An 18,283-nucleotide genomic window follows, 5' to 3' on the forward strand; every position below is an offset into this window, starting at 1 on the left:
TAAAAACATTTACTATCAGACCTTTTATAGAAAACTTTTTTCAGTCTGTGAATTATGTTCTCAAAGATATTTCCAGTGCCTCATTTATTACTACAGGATTTTACTGTGATTGAATCAAAAGGCCTACTTTACGTTACTTGTACCAGTGTACCCACTTCACACTGGGGTGTGAATAGTTGAATTTGCAAGTTCTTATCAAAAAAAGTTAAAAAATGTTTTTTCACATAATGGTTGATTTGTTTTACATTGAACAATAGCCTTCTTTTAGATTAAGTTCATATTTTTGTCCTATTGGCTATAACTTTTGATTGGATTATTTCAGTGGCTTCTTTAGAGATTATAGTATACATCTTTCATTTATCATAGCCTATTATCAAGTGATATTTTCCCACATTACCTATAGTTTAAGGACCTTTCAACACTGTACTTTATTTCTCACCTCCTGACTTTTTTGATATTGTTGTCATACATTTTACTTATGTGCACAGACCCCAAAATACATATTACATTTGCTTTAGTCAACTCTCTTTTTTTTCAAATTGAGATATAATTTGCATATAAAATTCACCTTTTTAAAGTGTACAGTTTATTATTTTGATTTTGTATGTGTTTATATTCACAGAGTTGTGGATCCATCACCACAATCTAGTTTCGAAACATTTTTATCACTCTAGAAAGAAACCCCATACCAATTAGGCACTTCTCATTCCCCAGTCATCTCAGCCCCTAGCAAACACTAATCTGCTTTCAGTCTCTATAGATTTGCTTGTTATTGATGTTGCATATAAAAGGAAATCACATAATATGTGGCCTTTTGTGACTGGCTTCTTTGATTTAGCATAATGATTTCAAGGTTCATCTATTCTGTATCATTACTTCATTCCTTTTTATGTCTGAATATACATTTTGTTTATCCATTTATCAGTCAATGGACATGTTCAACTTTCTAGCTATTATGAATAATTCTTCCATGATCATTCATATACAAGTTTTTGTGTAGACATATATTTTCAGTTCTCTTGTGTATATACCTATAAGTGAATTGCTGTGTCGTGTAGTTTTATGTTTAACCTTTTGACAAAATTCCAAACTGTTTTTTAAAGTGGTTACACCATGTTACATTCGACTAGCAATGTATGAGGATTCAGATTTCTCCACATTCTTGCCAACATTTATGTCCATCTTTTTTGAGGATGGCCACCCTAGTGGGTGTGAAGTGGTAATTCAATGTGATTTTGATTTGCATTTCCTTAATGACTAAATGATGATGAGCATGTTTTTATGTGCTTCTTGGCTATTTGTGTATCTTCGTCAGACAAATATCTAGTCATATCCTTTTTTAACTGAGTTATTTGTCTTAGTACTGTTAAGTTATGAGTTCTTTCTAAATTCCATTTACAAGTCCCTTATCAGATACATTATTTGCTAATATTTTTTCTCATTCTATGCATTGCCTTTTCACTTTTTTATTGGTGTTCTTTGAAGCACAGAAGTTTAAAATTTTGATGAAGTTCAGTTTATCTAGTGTTTTCTTCTGTCTCCTTTGCTTTGGTGTCATATCTGAGAAATTGTTGCCTAATCCAAGGTCACAAATATTTGTGCCTATTTTTTTTCTAAGAATTTTAAAGGTTTTACTCCTACATTTAGTTCTCATTCCATTTTGAGTTAATTTTTGTATATGGGGTGAGGTGGTAGTTTAACTTTATTCCTTTGCATGTAGATATCCAGTTGTCCCAGCACCATTTGTTAAAAAAACTGTCCTTTCCCCTTTGAATTTCTTGGCACCCTTGTCAAATATCTGTTGACCATAAGTGTAAGGGTTTATTTTTGGACTCTCTGTATTCTGTTCCATTGATTTATATTTTTATTTTTGGAATTAGGAAGTATAAGTCCTCCAACTTCTTCTTTTTCAAGATTGTTTTGGCTATTTTGGGTCCCAGTGTTTCCATAGGCATTATAGAATCAGCAAATGTTTTATACTTTTTGATGTTATTAGAAACACAGTTGTTTCTGAATTTCACTGTTGGATTGTTTATTGCTAGTATATAGAAATTCAGTTGATTTGTGAATTGATCTTGTATCCTGCAACTTTATCAAACTATTTCTAATCTAATAGTTCTTTTGTGAATTCCTTACCATTTTCTCTATATAAGATGAAGTTGTCTGTGAATAGAGATAGTTCACATATTCTTATTGGATGCCTTTATTCCATTTTGGATGCATTTTATTTTAATTGCCTTTTAAAGAAATTTTACAAATGCAACAGAAGTCTTTTAAATCTACTCATGTAGTTACCATTTCTGGTGTTTTCATTCTTTCACGTGTATCCAGATTTCCTAAAAGACTTCCTTTAACATTAGTTCAGGTATGCTAGGAAAGAATTTTTTCAGCTCACGTATGTCTGAAAAGTCTTTATTTCTCTTTCCTTTTCAAAAGATATTTTTGCTGGTTATAAAATTCTGAGTTGATAGTTTTATTCATTCAGTGCTTTAAAGATGTTGCTGCACTGTTGCCTGGCTTGTATTGTTTTTAAGAAGTTGGCTGTCATTTTTATTCCTCCTTATTTTTCTGTGTGTATGTGTTTAAATATGGCTGCTTTTAAGATTTTCTTCTTATCACTGGTTTTGAGCAATTTGGTTATAGTATACCCTGGAGTAATTTTTTTTTTTGAGGTGCAGAGTTGCTGTGTCGCCCAGGCTAGAGTGCAGTGGCACGATCTTGGTTTACTGCAACCTCCGCTTCCCAGGTTCAAGTGATTCTCCTACCTCAGCCTCCTGAGTAGCTGGGATTACGGGCGTGCACCGCCACACCCGGCTAATTTTTGTATTTTTAGTAGAGATGGGGTTTCACCATGTTGGTCAGGCTGGTCTCGAACTCCTGACCTCATTATCTGCCCGCCTCGGCCTCCCAAAGTGCTGGGATTACAGGTGTGAGCCACCATGCCCATCCTACCTTGGAGTAATTTTTAAAGTATCTCTTTTGTTTGAGGTTTGTTGAGCTTTTTGGGACTGTGGGTTTATAGTTTTCATCAAATTGGGAAATGTTTCAGCCATTGTTTCTCCAGATATTTTTGTTTCCCTCTCTTTCTAGTGACCTTAGTTGCACAAATACTAGGCCTCTTGAAGTTACCCTCTCAGCTCTCTGATCCTCTGTTCATATTTTTTTCATTAAAAAATTTTTTTGTTTATCCTTGGATAGTTTGTATTGCTGTTGCTATGTCTTCAAATTCATTAACCTTCTGCAATGTCTAATCTGCCACTAATCTCATCCAGTGTGTTTTTCATATGAAACAATGTAGTTTTATCTTTAGAAGTTCAGTTTCAGTCTCTTATTTTTGTTTACATCTTCCATGTCGCTACTTGACATGCTTTCTTCTAGGTTCTTGAACATATGGAACATAGTTATAATAACTGTTTCAATATTCTTGACTATGAATTCTATCATCCAAGTCATTTGTGGATAGGTTTCAATTGAGCAATTTTTCTCCTAATTATAGGCTGTATTTTTCTGCTTCTTTGCCTGCTTGGTTGTCTTTTATTGGATGTCACAAGACAGTATGCATTTTGCCTTTTTGGGTTCTGAGACAGTGATAAATTATTTGGAAGCAATTTGATTCTTTCCAAGCTTCATTTTGAGCTTTTAAAGGTGGTGCCAGAGCAGCTTTTAGTATAGGGGTAATTTTGCCCATTGTAGGCCATACTCTTTTGAATACTCTTCCTGATGCCCCTTAAATTACAAGGTTTTCCCCTCTGGCTGGTGGGAACAGACTGTTCTCCTATGCTGTATTAGCTACAGAAATTGTTTCCACTGTTCATTTTGGGCTCTTTCCCCGGGATGAGTAGTTTTCTCACATACATATGCTGGTCAGTGCTCAGTAGTTGACGCGAAGGGATTCTGCAGATCCCTGGAGCTCTCCTATGCAGCTCTATCCTTGGCATTACTTTGCCCTGCAAGGTTTCTAGTGTTTCTGCAAACACTAGAAACCTTGGCTTTCCTGGACTCCCAGCTGTATCTTTTCAACTCAGGGAGATTGCTGGGCTCTGTCTGGATTTACCTACCTTAGCCCTGAAAACTCTCCACAGCAGTTAGCTGGGACAGTTGTAGGGCTCGCCTTGTTTGTTTCTGCAATTCCAGTGATCATTCTGTGTTGCCTGCTATCCAATGAAAACTATTGTTTCCTGTTTTTTTGTCAGGTTTTTGTTTTGTTTTGTTTTCTGAAACTAGGGTAAATCTGGTCCCTGTTACTCCATCTGGGCTAGAAGAGGATGTCCTACATTGTCGGGGGTATATGTGTCTATGTGTGCTTTTTCTTAAAACTAGAAATGGTGGTTTGCTTTTTCTTTTCCTTTTTTCCATTGAAGAGCATGTCTTGTGATTTTTTTTTTTTTTTTTGACAGAGTCTGGCTCTGTAGCCCAGGTACAGTGGCATGGTCTCGGCTCACTGCAACCTCTGCCTCCTGGGTTCTGGTTCAAGAAATTCTCATGCCTCAGCCTCTCAACTAGCTGGGATTACAGGAACGCACTACCATGCCCAGATGATTTTTGTATAAACAGAGATGGGGTTTCACTATGTTGACCAGGCTGGTCTTGAACTCCTGACCTCGTGATCCACCCACCTCGGCCTCCGAAAGTGCTGGGATTATAGGCATGAGCCACTGTGCCCAGCCATCTTGTGATTTTTTTCTCTGTGTAGTCTTTGTTGGTATTGATGTTGAGTATCCTTAATTCATTAAGGATTTCACAGTGGTAATTAGGTCAGTTCAAGTCTTCTGGGAAGCAGACCGCGAGATGGAATTAGAAATGGAAGAGATTTAATGAAGGAAAAGCTTATAAAGCATAAAGAGTAGAATGAGCAGGAATCTTCAGATTTCACTACAGTCTGGCACCTGTGACAGGAGAGGAAAAGAAGGAAGATTGACTAGGAAGAACCTCAGACTTCAGATTGCCATGCAATCTGAGATAAGTGTCCTTTTTGCTAGTGAGGAACCCCAGAGCAAATACTGCCTTTTGAGGATGCCATTTGGATCAGAAATAGCTCAGTTCTAGTGTCTCTACTGTTCCCAGTCATTGGTGTTGGTATGAACAGTGCAGTGGATCCCAAAGGTTTGGCAACTGGAGGCTGTTAGCTGATTATACTCTGCAGCAAGTTCCCTCTCTCTTTTGTGGCCATATTGCTTTATTTTTTACAGTTAAGCCTACTATTCATCAGGAAGTAATATGCACATGTAGTGTAAAGTAAGATTCACTGCAATTCAGAGAGAAAAGAATCCTCTTCCCAATAGATGGTGTTGGGCCCATAGACTGCCAGTATTGGGTCAATAGACTGTCAGTATTGGCCCAACACCATCTACTGGGAAGAGGATTCTTTTCTTCTTTGAATTGCAATGATACCATTGTTGTAAGTCAAGTGACTGTAGATATGTGGCCTTTCCTCATCATGTTTTCTTCTTTGGTAATTCGTATCCTGAACTTTATAATTCTTTTGTTTTTCCATATCGGGGTTCGCCGACTTTTTCTATAAATTGGACAGGTAGTAAATACTTTAACTTTTGCAGGCTGTAACATCTGTCTCAACAACTCAACTCTGCCACAGTAGCATTAAAAGAGCCATAAGCAATATGCAAATGAATGAGCACGTTTTAATAAACCTTTGTTTACAAAAACAGCCAGTGGGCCAGATTCGGCTTGCAGCCATGGTTTACCAAGCCCTGTCCTACAGTGTAAATACATTTTTTTTGAAACAGTATTTCATATATATTTGGAACTTTATATAAATGAGCTCATATCCATTTGTATTGTGTGATTTGCTTTTTATTTCATATTATGTTTATGAGATTTCTTGTTTTTTTTTCCCTCTATGGCTCTTCCAATGTTACGTGAGATTTCTTTATGTTGTATGTAGTTATATTTCATTTCTTTTCACCGTCTCGGGGTTTAGTCAGTTATTTTAACTTAGAATATTTAAAAGAAAAATTATTGAATAGTGCGAGAACCAAAAAGGCAAAAAGGGAACATTAAAGTATCATGAAAGTAGTAACTATAAGAAACAACCACAATCTCTAGAACTGGATGAGAGGGCAGAATAAGTCGGAATTATTGAAACTTAGAAGCTTAGAGGAGGGGCCCCTTAAAGCTGCAACTTGGACCTCTGGTGATGGGACACCAACCCGGCTGGTACTGCCATTTCTGAGGAGGCCTGATAAAGGCTGGTTCTGTAAGGGCTGGAAAAAATTGCAAACTGGAATCAGCAGTACTTGCCAGGGTAAGGAACTCAGGGGTGACACTGTCAGTAACAGGAAGGAAGTAGCCTTCCTTCTTTCTTCCTGGTCTTCATCTAGTTCTTTGTGTTGGCAGAGTTCAACAGAGTGCCAGGTGGCGAAGGAGAAATGGTGTTTCCAGAGTCTTAGACTTAGCATCTCAAAGCAGAGGGTGGAAGGGTAGTTTTGAGGGGGAAAGTTAGTATCATAGCTACCAGTACCTCTAGAATTTCATTGTATCAATATGCCAGCCACAGTTTTACTATTCTGTAGTTAATAGACATTTGCCTTTTCAGATTTTTGCTGTTGTTAACACAATGCCACTAATTATTTATTTTTTTTTTTTTGCCTAGTTACAAAGATTTCTCTTTTGTTCTTTTACTCAGCACATCACTAATGAAATGTCTTTTCATGGGTTATCAGCAACTTCCTCCATTGCCAAATCCATTGCCTTCTTCCCCCAGTCTATTTGTCTTTTTTAATCATTAGCACTGTTGAACCCACACTATTCTTGAAACTTTTTCTTTCTTGTTTTCTCCTACAATGTTATATGCTTCTGATTCTCCACTTGTCCTTTCAAATGCCACTTTAAATTAAACTAAAATCCAATTACTTAAATTGAAATTAAAATCAAATGCCAATTTTCCTGGACTTGTAGATGATTTTTAAAATACTAATATTTTTTCTTAATTTTAAATACATAATTATTAAAGAAAAATTTAAAACATAGAAAAGTATAAAGAATAATAAAAAATCTTAACATTATCCATAATACCATACACTGACTTTTAAATCTTTATGATTTTCTCTAGTTTGAAAGCTAGACCTACCTTTCCAGCTTCCTGCCTAGACGTTTGCACATGAATGGTTTGCTGGCATCTTACATTGAGCATTTCTAAAACCAAAGCTTATTTTATTATCATCTTCTTTTCTCCATTTTTTTCCCTACTCTCTTTCCCACCTTCGGCTATTACTATTTCCAGAATTCACTTTAGGTGTTTTCAGTTATTCTTGGCTACCCGAGGTAATTGGACTAACTTAACTTTGGTGGTTGCGCAAATGCCAAGGATTACAGCTCCTTCCTTTTACATGTTACCTACGATTCCTTCGTGACTCCCTGAGTTTATGTCTTTAAGGACCCCTCCTAATGATGCTGAGGTGCTGGGGAAAAGTTTTTGTAGCACAAAAGATTAGAATAATATGGTGTTTAAAGAGCACAGACTCTGGAACCTGTGTTTAAGTCTTGATTCTGCTATTTAATTGCTATAATCCTGGATATGTACCCTTAAAGTAGAATAGGAATAGTAACTATTAATACTTAATAGCGTTGTTGTGCAAATAAAATGGAATAGTAAGTACAAAGTGCTTACAATATTCCTGGCATGAAGTGAGCACTAGATGTAATTGTTAGCTATTGCTATTATTACTCTTTGGTTTAGTACTCTTTGGGATGAACCTTAGGATATTTTGAATGCTTAGTAACTGGTGCCTCTGCTGCTAATCTTCGTATACCCTTAAGCAGCGTGGGGACTATGGTGTAATAACAGTTCTCAGTATCTTCTGTTGAGTATTTGTTTCTATGACATTCACAAAGGGAAAGTTGTTTTCCTAATAAACCCCAGTATTTAAGCAGGGGATATCTGCTTTTACTTTCTGTTTGCTTCTCTGTGTAAATCTCATGAAGTGTCCTAGTGGACAGTCAGTTCCTTAGCCTGTTTTTAGTTCACAGTAGGTTTAAATTGAAACAGGTAGATAGTGTTGCACCAGAGAAAAGATATCTAAGAAATTTCACCTTGCACCTAGGTTTCTTGAAAAGACTTTAAAAATTGGTTTTAGAAAAAGTGTAACTAAATTTTTTTTTTTTAAGAATTCCTGCAGGGGAGAAATAAAGAGTGCATCATTGAAGGATTTATGTCTTGAAGACAAAAGACGCATTGCAAACTTAATTAAAGAACTGGCCAGGTGAGATAAAACCTTATATGAAATGATTTATTATACAAAAGACAACTCTTATTGAAAACAGAAAATTGCAAATATATTTTGATGACTTAATATCTTTGATCTTATGGTAGCAAAGAGTTTTGGAAAAAAGACATTCTGTGATGTCAGAATCCTCTCAAAAAGCTTAAAAAAGAAGCATCAAAAGCAAACTACTTTCCAATTTACATTTTCTTATTTACTTAACTTTCCCAATTGTTTGATGCAAATATTTGTAGCGGTCATCTATTGAGGGAAGTTTTAGAAACTACTGTTGAAGTAGGTTGATATTGTTGTAATCAGAGGCGTAGCAGTTACCTTTGATTTTTCCTTCAGCATCTGAAGAAAAAATATTTCACTCACAAGAATATCTATTATTGCCTTGCTAATTCCTAATGCTTTTCAATTGATGGATTTTGAATTTTGATACTTAGCTGTTTGGGAGTACTATTCCAGTTTATTAGTGATGTATATGAGGCTCATCTACTTTGTATGTGTAATTTCTTTGTCAAATATACATGCCCAGTTTTGGGGGTCTTAAAAGGTACTTAATAAATGAAAGTATCTATAGAGAAATAGATGAATATAAATTGTAAAAGTTAAATTTACGGAGAGACCATACCTAAAAGTTGATAAAAGTTGATAAAATAGTACTACTTTTTATCACTGAATTGCAAATAAAGATAACAATATTAGGTATGTTTTGAACAAATTTTGTGTTGAAGCCTTAAAGTAAAGTTTGTAGAGGTTTTTAAAAAGACTGAAGTTAAAAAATTACCTTACTCTAAGTCATACAATCATGGGTATCAAAGATGACTATAAAAAAGTGATGTTTTGGGAGCCAGAATACAGGGTGTGAGAATTCAAAGTACACGCCTTAGTCTGAATTTGATATGCTACCTGAGATAAGTAGTAATCTCTTTTATTAGAATTCTTTGGCTGCCCTATTTTCTAAAGTAGAGTTTTCATTAATTTCAGTGTTCTTTTATTGGGAAAACATTTCATTGTTATCCTCAGTATTTGAAGGTGATGTTCTTGTGAGGCTATTACTACATAATAAGTCCTTTGATGAGGAGTTATTAAATATGTTTTGATGGTATTGAAAAGCTATTGCTATTTGTTTGACTCTGTTTGTTAATGGTCCTACGTTGCCATTATTGTCCTGCTGACCCATTTCATTTGAGCTGCCAAGCTTGGAGAATACCTGAAATATTAGAGCATTAAGTTAATTATAAAGGAAGCTGCAGACTGAGAATAAAACGCATATTTGACAACTCATATACAGAATATATAAAGAACTCTAATACCTCAATATTAAGAAGAGAACGTGATGGGTAAAAAAAGGGGAAAAAGTGACATATATGACTTGATATAAAATTAATCAAGTCAGTGCAGTGCTGGCATAAGGATAGACATATACATCAGCGAATGAAACAAAGAGTCTAGAAATAAACCATGCATGTATGTTCAATTGAGTGTGACAAGGAGGCTAAGGTAATTCTGTAGGAAGTCTTTTCTGACATAGAAAAACAATGTCATTTTGGTATTTAATAACCCTCTACTTCCTACAAAATATGCTAGGTTTTCTTTTTTTGTAATTTCTTTATAGAAGGTCAGTGTGTTAGTACAATGTCAGTATTAGTAAAAATCTGCTTATATACTGCTAAAGAACCCCATTATTACTGTATTTACTATTAACGTACAAGTATATGGGAATCATTTGTTCTTCATTTCTTAAAATTTGCTGAGTTTCCTCTACTGGATATTTCAGTCTACTTTGTCTACTTTTGTCTACTCATACTTTGAAACTGTTTTCTTTGCTTTCTTATTTGCAAGACTGTTTGATTGACGTGGGAATGTAGAGAACAGAATCTCATATAAAGCAGTGGCAACAAAACATTCCCAGTTTTTATGTTCTTTTCCCTCTGAATTTTCAATCTGGTTTGAAATAGTTAAGTATACTTACGTCTCTTTTATCTTAAAAATGCTCCTTTCACTATATATTTCCCCCTTGTCACTACCTTCTTTGCATTACAAGACATAACCTTTTTTCTAGAAAGAATAGTCTATATTATTTTCTATTCTGTTGCATTTTATTTTTTTATCAAGCATACTGGCTTGCTTATCAATCTGTTTATTTATAAATATGTCAAAGTGCAATTTGCATGCAATAACATGAACCAGTTTTTAAGTGCAGATTTCAGTGAGGTTTGACAAATATAAGATATACAAGATTTCCTATTCATGATATACAGCATTTATGTTACTCCAAATAGTTTCCTCTAGACCTTTTACAGTCTGTTTCCCCTTTCTCCCCCATCCCAGGCAACCATTAATATAGTTTCCATTATTATAGTTTAGTTTTACATATTCTGGCACAACATATAAATGGCCACACAGTATATACTCTTTTACTGTCTTTTTTCCCTCTACCTAATGGTTTGGATGGGGGGTGGTAAAGTACACCTAACATAAAATTTACCATCATAACCATTTTTAAGTGTACAGTTCAATGGCATTAAGTACATTCATAGTGCTGTGCAACCATCTCTACCATCCATCTCCAGAACTTTTTTTTATCACAAACTGAAATTGTACCCATTCAATAATACCTCCTCATTCTCCTTTCCCTCTTGCCCCTAGTAATCACTTTTCTGTGTGTCTCTATAAATTTGACTAATCTATGTAACTCATATAAGTGAAATCATACAATATTTGACCTCTGTATCTGGCTTATTTTACAGCATAATGTTTTTAGTTGTTTTCAAGTTGTTGTGTATGAGTACTCATTTTTTATTGTTGAATAGTATTTCATCATAGGCCCATACTTCAATTTGTTTATCTCTTCTTCTATTAATGGGCATTTGGGTTCTTCAGGTTTTTGCCTTTTATGAATGAAGCTTCCACAAACATTCATGCACAAGTTTTTGCATGAACATAATTATTTTTCTTCAGTAAATGCTCAATTATATGTTAAGTGTGTCTATAACTTTGTAAGAAACTTCCCAACCGCTTCCCAATGTGATTGTGCCATTTCACATTTCCACTAGCAACTTATGTGAGTTCCATTATTCTGTATACTCACCAACTCTTGGTATTGTCATTTCTTTAAATTTTAGCCCTTCTAATGAGTGTAGTGGTTTCTCCTTGTAGAAATAATTAGTGTTTACCGGTGACTAATGTGATTATTGGTGTGATAATCACATTATAGTAACATGACTAATGTGTCATTCTTCCTTAGTGAAGTGTCTGTCAAATCTTTTTCCCCTTTTTTTACCCATCACATTCTCTTCTTAATATTGAGGTATTAGAGTTCTTTATATATTCTGTATATGAGTTGTCAAATATGCGTTTTATTCTCAGTCTGCAGCTTCCTTTATAATTAACTTAATGCTTTCTTTTGATAAAATTTTGGATCTTGACAAAGTTCAGTTTATCAATTTTTTCCTTTTGTGGTCCAGGCTTTTAGTGCTCTATATATGAAATTCTGCCTATCACAAATTGCAAAGGTTGTTTTTCTATGTTAGAAAAGACTTCCTACAGAATTACCTTAGCCTCCTTGTCACACTCAATTGAACATACATGCATGGTTTATTTCTAGACTCTTTGTTTCATTCGCTGATGTATATGTCTATCCTTATGCCAGCACTGCACTGACTTGATTAATTTTATGTTGTCTTAAAATCAGGTAAATCCTTTAGCTTTGTTCTTATTTTTGAAAATTATTTTGACTCTTTGAGGTCCTTTGCATTTCACTGTAAATTTTAGAATCAGCTTGTCAATTTCTAAAGGAAAATTGTTTCCTGGAATTTTGGATGAAGTTTATTGGACATACAGATCAATTTGAAGAAAACTAACATTATCGAGTCTTTCAATTTACAAAAAGTTATCTATTAAGTATTTAAATTTTCTTTAATTTTTCTAGGCAGTGATATGTCATTTTCAGGTTATAGGTTTTGTTATATGTATCTTGAAGTTTTTTATGGCTTTTATACTATTGTAAGTGGTGTTATTAGAAATTTTATTATACATTCAATATTCAATTTTTTGATTGCTCATTTGAAAAATAGATTTTTTTAACATATATTGGCTTGGTATCCTTCAACCTTTTAAAATTTGCTTGTTACAGTCGTTTTTTGGTAGAATCCTTTGGATTTTGTGCATAAAAGATGTCATCTACAAGTAAAAACAGTTTTGCTTTTTTCCTTTCCAATCTATAGATGCTTTTTTTTTTTTTTTTTTTTTTTTGCCCTTTTGCATTGGGTAGTACTTCCAGTACAATGTTGAATGAAAGTGGTGAATGGACGTCTTTGCCTTTTCTTGTTCTTGATCTTAAATCTTTCACCATTATGTACAATGTAAGCTGTACATTTTTTAATAGATGTTCTTTATCAAATTGAGAAAATTTATTTTTGTTTCTAGTTTATTGAGAGTTTTTATCTTTAGTCATAAATTGGAGTAGAATTTGTCAATTTTTTTTTATCTTTTATTGCTGAACATGTGATTTTTATTCTTTTTTCCGTTAATGAGGTAAACTACATTGATTGATTTTTGAATGTTTAATTTACCTTGTGTTCCTGGCTTAAGCCTCATTTGGTCATGTTTTGTTTTTTGTTTTTATTTTTACTCTGTTGAATTGATTACCTGTTATTTTGTTAAATATATTTGTAGTTTTCATGAAATATCTTAGTATATTTTAATTTAATTTTTAAAATTACAGTAAGATATACATAAAATTTACTATTCTAACCAGTTTTTTAGTGTACAGTTCAGTAGTGGTAAGTACATTCACATTGTCGTGCAACCAGTCTTCAGAACTTCTTTCATCTTCTGTGAAACGCAATGTGCATTAAACAACTCCTCATTACTCCTCTCACCAGCCCCTGGTAACCACTGTTCTACTTTCTATAGCCATGAATTTTACCACATCATTTAAGTGAAAATAATATGTGTGTGTTTTTAATGTGGTAAAATACACATGACATAAATTGATCATTAGTGACATTTAGTATACTCACAGTGTTATACAACCATCACCATTTTCTAGTTCTAGAACATTTTCATAATCCCAAAGGAAACTATCTGTTCACCAGTTACTCCCCATTTTCTTGTTTCCCTGTGGCTCTGACAGCTTCTAATCTGTTTTCTGTCTCTAAGGATTTGCTGACTCTGGTTATTCTATATAACTGGAATTATAGAATATGGGGCCTATTCTGTCCACCTTCTTTCTATTAGAATAATTTCAAGGTTGGCTGAGTAACAGTTCATTGTGTGGATATGCCACATTTTGTTTATCCATTCATACTTTGATGGACATTTGGGTTGTCTCCATCTTTTGGCTATTTAAACTACATGAATATTTGAGTACAAGTTTTGTTTGAGCATGTGTTTCAGTTATTTTGTACATACCCAGGAGCTGAATTGTTTAGTCTTATGGTAATTCCACGTTGAACTTTTTGAGGAAATGCCAAACTATTTTCTACAACAGCCAAACCATCTTACATTCCTGTCAATGTGTAAGGATTCTAGTTTCTCCACATTCTTGTCACCATTTTTTGGATTATAGCCATGCTAGTAGATATGCAGTGGTATCATGTGGTTTAGATTTACATTTCCCCGGTGGCTAATGATACTGAAAAATCTTTTCATGTGCTTTTTGGCCATTTGTATATATCCTCTTTGAAGAAATGTCTATTCACATCTTTTGCCCATTTAAAATAAAATTGGGGTGTTTTTCTTTTTTGTTATTATAACTGGATTTTTAGATATTCTGGATGATAGATCATTATCAGATGTATGCTTTACAGATATGTCTTCCATTCTGTGCGTTGTTTTTTCACTTTCTCAGTGGTATTCTTTGAAGTACAAAAGAAAAGGTAGAGAAATCTAAATTATCTACCTTTTTTATTTTATTCATTTTGATGCTTTTGTAAATGAGATGGTTTTCTTAGTATCCTTTCAGATTGTTCATTGCTAGTGTAGAGGAACACAAATAGCTATTGTGTGTTGATCTTGTACTCTGAAACTTTACTGAATTTGTTAATAAGCTGTAATAGTTTTATTTATTTATTTATTGAGGATTCTCTAGGCTTTTCTATATACAGTAGTCTCCCTTATCAGGGAATATGTTCCAAGACCTTCAGTGGATGCCTGAAACTGCTGATAGTACCAAATCCTATATATATATTTTTTCCTATACTTACATACCTATAATAAAGTTCAATTTATAAGTTAGGCACAGTAGGGGATTAACAACAATAACTAATAATTAAATAGATCAATAAGAACAATATGCCAGCATCACTACTCTTGTGCTGTGGAGCCATTATTTACTAAAATAAGAGTTACTTAACCACAAGCACTGTCATAGCTCAATCTGATAACTGAGAGGGATGCTACATGACTAACGCCTATACAGTGTGGATATGCTGGCCAAAGGATGATTCATGTCCCAGGCAGGACTGAGTTGAACTGCACCAGCATTCATTATTTCTCTTCCTTGCCTTAGTGCTCTGCCTAGAATTTCTAGTACATTGATTAGTGGAGTGGCAGAAGCAGGCATTTGTCTTTTTCCTGATCTAAGTGGGAAAACTCTCAGTTTTTCATCAGTGGAGTAACATGTTAGCTGTGGGTTTTTCATAAGTGCCCTTTACCATGTTAAGGAACTTTCATGCTTTTCTTAGTTTGAGTGTTTTTGTCATGAAAGGGCTTTAGATTTTGTCAAAAGCTTTTCTGCCTCAATTGATATGGTCATGTTTTTGTGGTTTTTTTTCTGCTAATATGCTGTATTACATTGATTAATTTTCTTGTGTTGAATCATCCTTGTATTCCTGAGATAAATACCAATTGGTTATGTTATAAAATCACTTAATATGCTTTTGGATTTGGTTTGCTGGCATTTTGTTGGGGATTTTTGAATCTGTATTCATAAAGGATATTGTCTGTAGTTTTCTTTTCTCATAGTGTCTTTATCTGGCTTTGGCATCAGGTAATGCCGGCCTCATAACATGAATTAGAAAGTATTTCCTTCCCTTATGTTTTTTGGAAGTGTTCGAGATGGATTGCTGTTCATTCTAAGTGTTTGGTAGAATTAATCAGTGAAGCCATCTGGTCCCTGGATTGTCTTTGTTGGGAAGATTTTGATTACTGATTCAATCATTTTACTTGGTATAGGTCCATTCAGATCTTCTGTTTGCTCTTGAGTCAGTTTTGGTAATTTTTTTTGTTTTTTAGGAATTTGTCCATTTTATCTAGGTTATCTAATTTGTTGACATACAATTGTTCATAGTATTCTCTTATAATACTTTTTATTTCTGTAAAGTTAGTAATAATGTCTCCACTTTTATTTCTAATTTTATTTACATTATCTCTTATTTTCTTCATAAGCCTAGCTAAAAATTTGTCAATTTTGTTGATATTTTCAAAGTACCAAGTTTTGTTTTTATATATTGTATTTTTTTTAGTTCTCTGTCTTTATTCTAATATTTATTTTCTTCCTTTTGCTGGCTTTTTACTTAGTTTGCTTTTGGTTTCTAGTTCCTTAAGGTGTAAAGTTAAGTTACTGATTTGAGATCTCTTTTTTAATTTAAGGTAGGAATTTATAGCTATAAATTTTCCTCTGAGCACTGCTTTTGCTGCATCCCACAGTTTTGGTATGTTGTGTTTTTGTTTTCATTCATTTCAAGATACTTTCTAATTTTCTTTGTGATTTCTTCTTTGACTTATTGATTGTTTAAAAGTGTGTTAATTTCCACATATTTGTGCATTTTTTTGGTTTTTCTTTTGTTCTTGATTTAGAATTTTATTCTATTGTGGTGGAAAAGGTACTTTGTATGTTTTCAGTCTTTTAAAATATATTGAGACTTGTTTTATGACCTAACATGTGGTTTATCCTGGAGAATGTTCCATGTGCACTTGGGAATAATATGTATTTAGCTGTTACTTGGTTGAGTGTTCTGTGTATGTCTTTTAGGTTTAGCTGGTTATTGTGTTGTTCAAGTCCTTTCTTGTTACAGGCTGAAAGAATGAGGGTCATGATCAACTCAGTATACCACTGGAGGCTATGTGAGTAAACAGAAAACTGTTTCTTATAAAGGCAGAATGTTAGCAAACTGACAAACTGCGTCTGTCGCCCAGTAGTAATGCTGAGGGCAGTCACGACCTAGGCACAAGTGTTTCTTGTGATTAGGCAAATCTGAAGCCTGTTAGCAATAACATGAACCTGTGTTCAATCAAGCAGCTGACCAATCATTACCTCCTCCTCCCTGCTGTTGCTACCCAATAAATACGAAGGGCTGTGGAAGCTCAGGGGCTACCTTTGCTCACTAGAAGCAGGGAGCTCTTTTCTTCCCCTGGACCCTTCTTTAAAACAGTTTCTTTTGTTTTTTGTTATCATTTCTATGTTCATCCCTATGTTCAGTCTAGTAATGACGGTCTCAAGCAGTAACAGTAGTAACTGCTGTAATGGCAGTCTCAAACAGTAACAGTAGTACCAGCTGTAATGACAGTCTCAAGTAGTAACTGTGGCAGTCTGCCACACTTTCTTATTCTTCTTCTGTCTGGATGTTCTATATGTTATTGAAAGTGTGTTATTTAATTCTCTATTATTCTAGAACTGTTTATTTTATCTTCAGCTATGTTAATATTTTCATATATTTTGAGGTGCTGTTTGGTGTATATTTTTATAATTTTTGTATCTTCTTGAGGAATTGACTCTCTCTGCCTATTGTAGCATTCTTTGTTTTAAAGCCTATTTGTTTGATATTAATATAGCAAACTAAACTGTTTTTTGGTTAATATTTGCATGTTACTTGAATGGAATAAATTTTTCCACCTTTTAACTTTCAACCTTTGTGTCTTTTGATTTAAAGTGATTATCTTCTGGGGAATATAAACCTGTAGATTATGATTTTTAAAGATCCTGTAGTTAGATTATGACTTTTAAAGATTTACCTCCACCCTTTATTTGATGAGTATAACACATTTACATTTAAAGTAATTACTTAGAAGAAATGACTATTTTGCATATGTGTATGAAAAGACATTTCTTTATTTGTTCCTCAGTTACCCCAATAGTACTGTCATTTCTGTTTGATTTTTTTCTAATGTATCATTTTCATTCCCTCTTCATTTCTTTTTCTATATATTCTTAAAGTTATTTTCTTAGTGGTTACCCTGGGGTTTACAGTTAACATAGTAAATTTGTGACACTCTAATTTGAATTTTTACCAACTTAGCTTCAATGGCACATTAAAAACTCTGCCTCTACACAGCTGCATCTTCTATCCTATGTTGTTATTGTCATTAGTTACATTTTTATACACTGTGTGCTTTTTTTTATTTTTTTTATTTTTATTTTTTTGACAGAGTCTTGCTCTGTTGCCCAGGCTGGAGTGCAATGGCACAATCCTGGCTCACTGCAACCTCCGTCTTCTGGGTTCAAGTGATTCTTCTGCGTCAGCCTCCCGCGTAGCTGTTACAGGTGCCCGCCACCAAGCCCAGCTAATTTTTTTGTATTTTTAATAGAGACGAGGTTTCACCAGGTTAGCCAGGCTGGTCTTGAACTCCTGATCTCAGGTGATTCACCCACCTCAGCCTCCCAAAGTGCTGGGATTATAGGCGTGAGCCACTGCACCCGGCCCACTGTGTGCTTTTTATGGGCTGAATTGTGTCCTCCCTAAATTCATATGTTGAAGTGTTAATCCTCAGTATCTCAGAAGGTGATTGTGTTTGGAGACAGGTCCTTAAAAGTGGTTATTAAGGTTAAGTGAGATCATATGGGTGAGCCTTAATCCAACATGACGGTTACCTATATAAGAAGAGTAGATTGGAACACAGACATGCATGCATACGGTGGAAAGACTATGTGAGGACACAGCAAGAAGGCAGGCATCTGGGAGAGACCTCAGAAGAAACTAATCCTGCTGACACCTTGATCTTGGACTTCTAGCCTCCAGAAATAGGAGGAAATAAGTTTCAGTTGTTCAGGCTACTCAGTCTGTGGTACTTTGTTAAGGCAGCCCTAATGAATTAATATGGTGCTCATTAAC

At 34.3% G+C, this 18,283-nt stretch overlaps 1 protein-coding gene across 19 annotated transcripts in view; it reads left to right on the plus strand.

The window, feature by feature from the left end:
- KIAA1328 overlaps nt 1-18,283 on the plus strand; it is a 403,046-nt gene that overhangs the window by 6,957 nt on the left and 377,806 nt on the right. For 16 of the 19 annotated variants that reach the window (NR_136303.3, NR_136304.2, NR_148565.2 and 13 more), the window contains one exon: nt 8,125-8,219. The exons of the other annotated variants lie outside the window; for them this stretch is intronic. Coding sequence is in view for 12 of the 16 variants with exons in the window: in XM_047437678.1 (XP_047293634.1) it covers nt 8,125-8,219 (95 nt within the window). In the remaining 4 variants the exon portion in view is untranslated. The remainder of the gene's footprint in view (nt 1-8,124; nt 8,220-18,283) is intronic. 19 annotated transcript variants of the gene reach the window in all.

Source organism: Homo sapiens, chromosome 18 (assembly GCF_000001405.40).
Source record: "Homo sapiens chromosome 18, GRCh38.p14 Primary Assembly".
In the NCBI taxonomy this organism is placed as follows: domain Eukaryota; kingdom Metazoa; phylum Chordata; class Mammalia; order Primates; family Hominidae; genus Homo; species Homo sapiens.